The 11,042-nt window shown below is 43.5% G+C and overlaps 1 long non-coding RNA gene across 2 annotated transcripts; it reads left to right on the top strand.

The window, feature by feature from the left end:
* LOC107984480 (uncharacterized) lies at positions 1 to 1,188 on the top strand. 2 transcript variants are annotated; one of them, XR_001749179.1, is made up of 3 exons: positions 1 to 72; positions 267 to 360; positions 883 to 1,188. It is a non-coding gene; the product is annotated as an uncharacterized LOC107984480 (long non-coding RNA). The 2 variants fall into 2 exon arrangements; XR_001749178.1 differs by having other exon boundaries at positions 32 to 115.
* The last annotated feature ends 9,854 nt before the right edge of the window (positions 1,189 to 11,042 follow it).

Below are 11,042 nucleotides of genomic sequence, written 5' to 3'. Positions count from 1 at the left end.
TGAAACCGATGTCTCCTTTCTCCCTAAAGGTTCCACATGTGTGGAACCAGGGCATTTTCTTTTTCTAAGAGGGTAAGACTGCACGACCTCCTCTCCTTTCTAAGGAACATCTAAGGTAACTTTTTACCTTAGTGACAATAAAGTTAGCAGCAGCACATTGAAGTGTGAAGCACGGGGGGGTCTATGGAATACAATTCAATAAATAAGATCAGGGCGCTAGAGGTTGCAAATCACTTGATATTTACCATCTCGCTTTGTTTTCACAGCAAGTCTGCCGAGTCCGTAGTCTTGTGACTAGTTGACAGATGGAAACAGTGAAGGCCCAGAGAGATTCAGTCACTTGCTCAAGGCCACAGGCTGGTAAGTTATGGAACCGGGATTCACATCCACACACGAATCCACGCTCATGAAGATTCTGCCTGGCATCACGAAGTACAGTGTGAGCGTCAGCACCATTTGCTGGGCTTCCCTCCATGCCTGTATCATTTTAATGTCTGTAGTAGAGTCAAACTAAGGTGATATAGATGAAAACCAAGGAATTCACAAAGCTAGGCAAATCCACAAAGCAGTATATCAAATTAAGACAAAAGTGGATTCAATTGAGAAAAACAGAGTTAGGTGTTCCTGGCATGCAAACTTTTTTTTTTAAGTTAAATAGTTGACAAGAAGGATATTACCTGCCACTTCTCTTCTAAGTTATTTTATTTGACATGAAGCTCTCTAAAGGGCACAGAGGTTGAGTTGTGTCATTAAGCTATGCATTCTTCAAGTGTCAGATTTTCAGATGCCATAGCTTAACCTTTGCAATGCTATAGAACCTTGTTCCCAGTCAGCTAAGTTCTTTTTTAACTTTCTTTTCTTTTTTCCTGATGTTGTTCACAGGCAGCTGCAGGCCTAGAGCCCTTCTCATGAAGAGCAGGAAGTACCCAAAGCCACAGCCAGGATTAAAGAGTTGATCTAAACCTTAGATCTTAGCTTTAAGGTTGTAATGTACAGTGAATCTGGTTACATGGAAAAGGAAACAGTAATTGTTGAAGTATGTTTTCTTAAGCTACAGAATAATTTTTGAAATGTTTGCCTTTAATCCGCAGACAGGCTCGCGTTTGAGAAAATATTTTCTTGCTGCTCAAGATGAATGTGAGTGTCTGAAGTACTGGATCTTTGAGCTACATTTTGTCATTTTTTCAAAAAATAAAAAGATGACTAGTGTCATACAATAGAGTTTAAAAGATTGCTTTTTCTAGCTACCATAACTTTGGTGCCCTGGTTGTGGAATGTTGGAATGGTTTAGTTTCTCGTGCTTCTTACTTAAAATTTGAGACAGTGCCTGATTAAAGAAAAATAGTAGGGCACCCGTGAGCTCATTATACCCAGACTAGAACGTTATCTCACCATGCTTAGGTCAGAGGGTGGAAAGTATCAGGGCTCTGAGCACCACACTTGATTCTAGCTTTGCTTCTTTCCAGATCTGAGCATCTGTGCTATTGATTCAACTTTCTCAGTCTCCATTTGTTGCTGCCAACGCTGGGTACCACAAGTGATTCCCTCATATGGGAAGTGCCTGACTCACAATTATGAGGTTTGCATGCTGTAGCTATATAGTGTAACCAAAACATTAGATTGTGGATCTAATAATAGAAGCCTGCAACTTCTTATCTACCGAGAAAGCATGGAAGAACTGCTAACTCATGCCCCCATGCCTAACAACATGGGTTTCTCAACTTTTAAAGGATTAGAGTCATCTGTTGATCTTAGGAACCAAAAACTTTGGTGCAACTCCAAATAAAAGTAACAAACATATATTTTTCCACTGCTATACTAGCATAATTCCCACATGTCGGGGGAGGAACCCAGTGGGAGGTGATGAATTATGGGGGTGGGTCTTTCCATGCTGTCCTTGTGATAGAACAATCCACACAATCCTCTTTTACCGTCCTAGGATTCACAGGTGATTTTCTTCTCTTGACACTGTCTCAAGGATGACTGTAGGATGCTCAAGTTTCTGGACAGATGATGCTGCTCTAAAGCAGTGCTTCCCACACTGTCAGTGGAAATACCAACTTTGTTGTTATTTACTTCCCATATGCTACAAACTGCTACTTTTATAAAATACAACAAAGATAAATTTCTAGGGAAAAAAGTGAAATGAGAAAACACAAAGATATGCAAAATACAAGTTCATGACTAAAGCCAGTGTCAATTACCAACACCATCAAATTGCTCTGGTGCCTCCTCTGGCCTTCTGTACCAATTTCTCTCCAATGTGTGACAAGCAGTGCATGGGCTGTCTTGAGTGTGTGGACCACACTTTGACTGGCACAGTGATACGGCCTCATAGCCCTGGGTATTAATCCCAACTGTAGTACCAACCAACAAAGCATTCTATCACTTTCAAGGAACAGCAGTGGCACCTGCCTTGGAGTCAGACATTCCTGCTCAGAATGAAGTGTCTTGTGTACCCAAGATTATGTGTTCTGGATGCGCACAGATCTTGGGGGATAATATAGTTTGGCTGTGTCCCCAGCCGAGTCTCATCTTGAATTGTAACTCCCACAATTCCCAAGTGTCATGGGAGGAACCCAGTGGGAGGTGATTGAATTACAGGAGTGGGTCTTTCCTGTGCTGTTCTTGTGATAGAGAATGAGTCTCACCAGATCTGATTGTTTTAAAAATGGGAGTTTCCTTGCACAAGCTCCTCTTTTTGCCTGCTGCCATCCATGTAAGACATGACTTGCTCCTCCTTGCCTTCTGCCATGATTGTGAGGCTTCCCCAGCCATGTGGAACTGTGAGTCCAATAAAACCTCTTTCTTTTGTAAGTTGTCCAGTCTCAGGTATGTCTTTATCAGCAGTGTGAAAATGGACTAATACAGGGGAGCCGAGGAAACTGGACTCTCATCCCATCCTCAAAGTTTCGGGTCTGGTTTGACAGTCAGAGAAGAAATAACCCCAGGATGAGTATTATAAAGAAGACATGAGCAAGATACCAGATACTCCAGAGAAGTCAGGAGAGCCTTCACCAAGAAGGGGATATTTGAAAAAGGTTTTTCCTTCCTTCATTCCTTCCTCCCTCTTTCTTCTTTCCTTCTTTCTTTCTTTCTTTCTTTCTTTCTTTCTTTCTTTCTTTCTTTCTTTCTTTCTTTCACTTTCTTTCTTTCTTTCTTTCTCTCTCTCTCTTTCTTTTTCTTTTCTTTTCTTTTTTCTTTCTTTTCTTTCCTTTTTTTTTTTTTGACAGAGTTTTGCTCTTGTTGCCCAGGCTGGAGTGCAATGGTGCGACTGCAACCTCTGCCTCCCAGGATCAAGTGATTCTCCTGCCTCAGCCTCCCGAGTAGCTGGGATTACAGGTGCTCACCACCACACCCAGCTAATTCTTGTATTTTTAGTGGAAATGGGGTTTTGCCATGATGGCCAGGCTGGTCTCGAACTCCTGACCTCAGGTGATCCACCCACCTTGGCCTCCTGAAGTGCTGGGAATACAGGCATGAGCCACCACACCTGGCCTTGAGAAAGGTTTTCAAAATGGTTAGACATCCACTGGATGGATGCTGGGGGAAGGGGGTCAGTGGATGGAGCTGAGAGTTGGAAAAAGATACCCTAGTGACGCAAGATGGGGGAGCCCCAAAACTGGGGCTTAGCCTGGAAGGGTTCTTGACTTTGCCCAGGAAAGAACTCAAGGGGGAGACGGTGGTGCTGGACAGCAACTGTTATGGAAGTGGCTGTGCACAGCGGCAGAGGTGCTGCTCCTCTCAGAGCAGGGCTCCCCACAGGCAGTGTGCCCAGAGCAGCAGCTCAGAGGCAGGGCTGCAGTCGTATTTATGCCCACTTTTAATTACATGAAAATAAAGGGGCAGGTTTTGCAAAAATTTCTAGGAAAAGGGTGGTAACTTCCAGGTTTTGCCATGGCAATGGTAAACTGACATGGCACACTGGTGGGCGTGTCTTATGGAAAGCTGCTTATGCCTTGGCCCTGTTTTAGCTAGTCCTCAATTTGTTCCAGTATCCAAGCCCCACCTATAGAGTCAAGTCCCACGTGCTACCTCAGTAGGCAGGGCAAACAGTGGGTAAAATGTCCGTAAACTTGGGCAATAATTAAGACCCTCGAGGTCAAAATTTCCTCCCCTGTGAAATGGAGCCGACAATGCTTGCTTTGTGTGGATATTAGAAGTGATGATGTGCAAAGCATCCACATCTGTGCCTACGCTGTATTCACACAAATAAATGCTAGTTTGTGTCTCTACCCCCGCGTTGGTCCAGAGGCAAGGACCATGGGTGAGCAGTCATCCCCTACTCTTGGGAATGTGATGCAGGCTCAGAGATCACTGGGCATCGGGAGAATTCAGTGAGGGGACCCCTAACAGACAAATGGGCAGGGTAAGGACACCTTCAAGGGACAACAGGGCACTCCAGGATGGTTCCCCAGTGATGGGGAAGCCCTCACCTCCCACAGACCTGAAGAAGCAATGGCTTCCAAGGCATGCAGGGGATGGAAAGTGCTAAAGGCGCCTGTGGAGAATGGCAAGCGTGCCGGGTTTAATGAGAGATGTGGGGGGGGGGGGCGGGGGGGCTGTGGGGGAGTGAGTATTAAGGGATTGTATTTTAGTTATGCCTTGTGATGAGCAAGTAACACAAAAACTATAACAAAAGGCCAAATGTGTTCATTTCTCTACCAGAGTCAAAAGTAAAAGCTACTCGAGAACAGCAGGAGAGGTTCTGTCTGGCCGGAGCCAGGAGAGATGCTTTCTGAAGGAAGAGACATTCAATATAGTCCTTGAATAACCACAAAACAACAACAGCTGGCACTTCTGAGCACTTACTAGTTGCCAGGCACTATTCTAAGTAATTGGTACATATGAGCTCATTCATCCTCACAGCCCTATTAAGGGGCACTAGGGATTGGATTTGACCTCTCCAAATTTATCTGTGGAAGTCCCAACCCCAGAAACTCCAAATGTGACCTTCTTTGAAAATAGGGTCTGTGCAACTGTAACTGGTTAAGGTGAGGTCATTAGGGCGGGTCCCTCCTCCGTTGTGATGAGGGTCCTTCTAAGAAGGGGGAAACTTGGGCACAGGCTTGCATGCAGGAAGAATGTGAGGATGGAGGCAGAGATCAGGGTGAAGCCTCACACTCTCGGGATTGCCAAAGATGGCCAGCAGCCATGGGAAGCGAGGAGAGAGGCCTGGAGCAGAAGAAACCAACCTAACCCACATCTCAATCTCAGACCTGGCCTCCAGAACTGTGAGACAACACATTCCTGTTGTTTAAGCTGCTCAGTGTGACACTTTGTTACAGCAGCCCCCAGAAACTAATACAAAGGGGTCATTATCATTGTTCTCTTACAGATCAGGAAACAGGCACAGAAAGCTTATATGCCTAGGACAGTGATCCAGGGCATGGGGTCTGGGGCCAGACTGCAGGGGGGAGCCATGAACCTGCCATGTGTTTTCCAGGGGCAGAGACTGCAGGCAGGGATACCAGCTAGGAATCTGCAAGGATGAGGCCAGAAACAAGGGCAGGAGAGGGACTGGGGGGCAGCGTGGATGGGAAAGATTGTAGAGCTCTGATCGCCAAGACTTGAAGACACATTTGCTTATACACAGAAAGATGGAATCCTTCCCAGTGTTTTACAGAGCCAGCCTAATCCTCATTCCAAAACCTAACAATTCAAGAAAGAAAATAGAGATTATTCTCTTTCACAATTAAAGATCTCTAAATCCTAAACAGGCTACTAGGAAATCAAATTCAGTACTATGCTGAAAAGATAACGCACCATAGCAAATGAGCGGTTTTATTTCGGGTGATGCAAGGATAGCTCATTATTTAGAAACTTACTAATACCATTCACATGAATTGGCTAAAGAAGGAAACCAATGATCCTCTTGATACATCTGTGGAGGCATTCGATAAAACACAGAGATAGCTGAGAATAAATAGAAAGACCCTGACTTAATGTGAGGGTGAATATCCACCTTCAGCTAATAGTCAATGCTGTCCTGAAGGTACAGAGGAGAGGCATCCCCATAAGAGTAAGAATCAAGGATTTTAAATATCATTACTCATATTTGATAACCTTCTAGCTAATGCTAGAAGGCAAGGAACAGAAATAAGAGGTGGAAATAACAAAAAGGAAGAGACTAAAATAAATGAGCAGAATGCATAAGAAGAAATCCTAAAACATTGCTATGACAATAAAAATAAATGGAGAGAAATATGTATTCCTGGGCAACAATGTTGAGTATTGCAAAGGCATCATTTTCTCCAAAATCATAAATATACTGAATTCAGTTCCCGTAGTATGAATTTTGGAACTAGATAAAGATGATTCTAACCTGCATATAGAAGAATAAGCATGACAGCCAGTGTGGGTGACCAGGTAGCAGGGGGTGCCTGCCTCAGTCATGCACCCAGAAAACATGGTTCCTCAGCAACCTTCAACCCTGGCCCAACCCTCGACATGAGGCCCCGTGGTCCAGGCTTCTGCATGTCATGTACTGGGACACCAGCTGTGGCTCACTTGTGCCCCAGAGGGGGACTTCCTGTGGCCCAGAAACTAGGACCCTGCTGGCCTGAGCAAACCAGCAGACTTCTCTGCCATTCCAAAAGGGGCAAGGACAGCCTTCTCCAATGAGGTCTGAGCCCAGCCTGGGGAGGGGCCTTCCAGCTTGTCCTTCCTTATTTTTTCTATCCCAGTCCTAGAGTAGCCTATATTTTATAGTTAATCTCTTATCATCATCATCATTTACATTAAACTTTCCTTGTTTAAATCACTGTGCAATTTGTGTCTCCCGATTGTACCCAAACTAGTACAACAGGTAAGTGTGTTTTGAAAACGAACAAGGAATGACTTTACACAACAAAATTTGTGTATAATCTATCTATATGTATAGATTCAAATTATATTTGAATAAAATACTTTCAGAAGTCAAATGTGTGTGTGTGTGTGTGTGGTAATTAAGATAGAGGGGATTCGCAAGGATATGAACAGACAGGTCATTGGAACAAGATATAAAGTCAAGGAGAAGACCAAATAAGAAGAAAGATAACATTTCAAATCAGAGTTGAAGGGTGAATTGTTTATTATAACAATTTGTTTTGAGACAACTAGATAGCCATTTACATAGCCATTTAAAATAAAATTAATTAACTTAAATCCCTAACATATGACTTTCTCTGAATACATTTTAGGCAGTTTAAATATGTAAGTGTAAAAAATGAAACTAAGGAAATGCTAGACCACAATATTACATGGCTACATGTCTGTTTCCATGGTAAAAAATGCCTTTCCAAGGATGAAAATGAAATATCTTCCTTAAAAGAGACTAAGGAAAAGATTGATATTCATGACTACAGAAACATTTAAACTTTTCCATAAAATTAAAAAATTTCAAAAGCTAACTTAAAATGCAAATAACAAACTACAAAAAGTATTGTGGATAAAGTTTTAAAATTTCAAATATCTAAAGAATTCTTATAAATCAATCAAGTATAGCTAATGTACCCAGTGGAAAAATGGGCAAAGAATAGATAGTCACTTCAATAGCTAGTAATTTTTTAAAAAACAAAAACAGCATAATCTCATTATTCATCAAACAAATGCAACAACAAAGGAATTTCATTTTATGCTTATCCCATAAGCAAACCTAGAAAACAATAGCTGGTGTGTTGGCTCATATCTGTAATCCCAGCTCTTTGGGAAGCTGAGGCAGGAGGATTGCTTGAGCCCAGAAGTTCAAGCCCAGCCTGGGCAACAAAGTGAGACTTTGTCTCTACAAAAAATCAAAAATAAATCAGCCAGGTGTGGTGGCTCTCGCCTATGGTCCCAGCGACTTAGGAGGCTGAGCTGGGAGAATCACTTGCGCCCGGGAGGTTGAAGTTGCAGTGAGCTGTGATGGTACCACTGAATTCCAGCTGAGGTGATGGAGTGAGACCCGGTCTCAAAATAATAATAATGATAATAATAATATCCTGTTAGTGAGAACACACACGAGTGCAGCCTTTTTGGGGATATTTCCATAACACATATCAAAGTTCTTCAAAATCTGCAAATCTCTGACGTAGGAATTCTACAGTGAAGAACTTCGCTTTAGGAAATGGTAAAAAATAAGCTCTAAGAAGTATAGACAGAGACATTCTTTACAGCACTACTTATAATATTGAAAAATGGCTAACAAAGTTAATTCCCAATAATAGGCAATTGGCTAAGTAAAGATAAAAGGCATGGAGTGAAAATTTGTGCAGTAATTATCAATAAAGTCACAAAATAATCCTTAATGACACATGAAAATGGTTATGGTATATTTTAAATGGAAAAAAATAGCAGGTAAGAGCAAGCTGCATATGTACAAATTACACGCAATTGTTGGATAAAAATATCCAATTTTTTAAAGGGGACTGCAGAGCCAGTATCAAATTGTCAGCTCAGGAAGCACAGGACTTCTTTCTAGAGGTCCTTGTTTTGGGCTGAGTCTTTCCGCAAAGACTTTTCTGGAAAAGGCAGGCATCCCCCTGCCCGTTGACAGCCCTGAGGTTATCCTCTTGCCTAACTTCCATGGGGGGTTATAAATAGAAGACCCTCTTCCTTCAGAAAGGACAAACTCTCTCACAGATGGGTGTGCTCCTATCTCTGGCAGCCAGACCTCACAACTGGGATCACAGGATTCTTTCTCTTTTGCCATCTCAATGAGCATAGCGGAAAGTGACAGCAAATGGAACCATTGGCAGGATTGGTCTCTCAGAGGAATATTATCAAATGGGACACCAGTGGCGCTTGGTAATCAAACCAAAAGCAGCGGTAGGGAAGAGCATTTATAGGTTAGAGGAGACACTGGAGAATTAAGGTGCCTCGGGAGAAGAGTGCAAATGCCAGCTGACTTCACTAAAACATCTGTCCTTTATGACTCCTAGTTTTTAAAAGCTAATTTTAATTTGGAAGCATCACTGGAGCGCTCGGCTGAGCCCAGTAGATTCCCTTTTTGCTGTTTTGTAGATAAAATGAAAAAGTCACTCATCCCAATGAGGATCATCTTTATCACTTGTACTGAGCCAAATGAATAAATGATAATCTTCGAATCAATCAGGGTCCCAGCAGGGAGAAGAATCTCATTCAGATGGTTCCCTGGAAGACATTTTAATAGAGGGACTCCCTTCAAAGGTGGGCAAAGTTAAGCAAAACACAAGAGAGGCTGAGGCCCCGAGGGAGCAGTGATGGTAAGGAGTAGTACCCTCTCCCCCAGGCCTGGGGGGCAGGAGGAAGGAGTAGCGTTCCCAGAGCTGCAGACGGCCAGGGCCTTGGACATGGGCTTGGTAAGCGGGAGCTGCAGGTGCGCGGGGCACAGCCACACTAAGCCCTGAGTGTGACAGCAGAGGGCGGTGGGAAGAAACGTCCGACCTGTCTCTGCTCCTGCTCTCTGCTTCCTGGCCAGTGCCTCTCACGGGCCGAACCCACCTCGAAATGCAACAGCAAGTGAGTCTGAGGGATGCCATCCAAGGGACGTTGAGGAGTGTCTCCTCAACAGTCACGTCCACACCCAGTCTCAGAATGAGCTTGTTTGAGGATAGAGTCTTTAGAGGTGTAATTGGTTAAGGATCTTGAGCTGAAATCATCCTGAATTCAGGGTAGGCCCTAAATCCAATGACTGGTGTCTCTGTAAGAAGAGGACCCAGACACAGAGGAGAAGGCCATGTGGCTATGGAGACAGAGGCTGGAGAGGTGCCGCCACAAGGCGAGGGACAGAGGACAGCCAGGAGCCACCAGAGCCAAAAGGGATGAGCAAGGATCCTCCCTGGAGCCTTCAGAGGGAGCAGGACCCTGCTGCCTCCTAGATTTCAGACTTCTGACCCTAAGGACTGCGAGAGAATATGTTTCTGTTGTTTTAAGCCACCCAGTTGGGGTGATTTGTCAGAGCAGCCCCAGGAACTAATAGCAGTCATGAGTGTCAGCCTCCCATGGCACAGAGTAGGGCCCTGCAGTGGGGGCTGGAAGGGTCTTAACCAACAGTAACCTTACAGCCCTCTCCCAAGGGAAGGAAGCTACTGGATTGCTTCCATACATTGGTTGCAAGCAACAGAAATGAACTCTGGCCAGTGACAATGAAAGGAACTAAAAGGGAGCTCGCAGAATTGGGGAAAAGGATGGGAAACAAGCACTGGAAATAGGCAGAGACTCGGAAACTCAGGGGCTTGGATGCAGGGGCTATAGGGAGCAGTGCTAGAGCAGGAACTTGTAGGTCAGGACGCAAGGACCCCAGAACAGCCAACATGATCTTGTAAAAGAACAGCCAAGTTGGAGGACTCATAGTTCTCAATTCCAAAGCTTATAAAGCTATAGCAATCAAAACAGTGAGGTGCTAGCATGAATACAGACATATAGCTGCTCACTGGAATGAATGGAGAGCCCAGATTATAGACTCTTATTTATGGTCAGTTAACTTTCCACAAGGAAGCAATGACAAGTCCATGGGGGAAACGATCATCCTTTCAGTAAATGGTGAGAGACAATTAGAATTCCACACGCAAAAGAATGAAGTTGGATGCCCATCTTATACCGTATTATACAAACATTAACACCAAATGGAACACAGCCCCCAAATTAAGAGATAAAACTATAAATCTCATAGAGGAAAACATAGGCATAAATCTTCATGACTTTGGATTAAACAACTTTTTCTTAGCTATGATACCAAAAGCACAAGGGAGAAAGGAAAAAAAATAGATATGAGTTTCATCAAAATTTAAAACAGTTTTGTGCCCCCAAAATATACTGTAAAGAAAGTGGAAAGTCAATCTACAGAAGAATATATTTGTAAATCATACATGTGATAAAGGGCTTGTATCTATAACATATGAAGTACTCTTACAACTCATAAAAAGCATGCCTTTTGAACATGGAAAAAGGATCCAAATAGACATTTATCCATAGAAGACATATAAAAGGCCAATCATCATATAAAAAGATTCTCAATGTGGGCCGGGCGCGGTGGCTCACTCCTGTAATCCCAGCACTTTGGGAGGCCGAGGCAGGTGGATCACAAGGTCAGGAGATCGAGA

Source organism: Homo sapiens, chromosome 12 (assembly GCF_000001405.40).
Source record: "Homo sapiens chromosome 12, GRCh38.p14 Primary Assembly".
NCBI lineage: Eukaryota > Metazoa > Chordata > Mammalia > Primates > Hominidae > Homo > Homo sapiens.
Note: the sequence above shows the minus strand (reverse complement) of the source record. Positions and strands in the feature narration are given on the sequence as shown.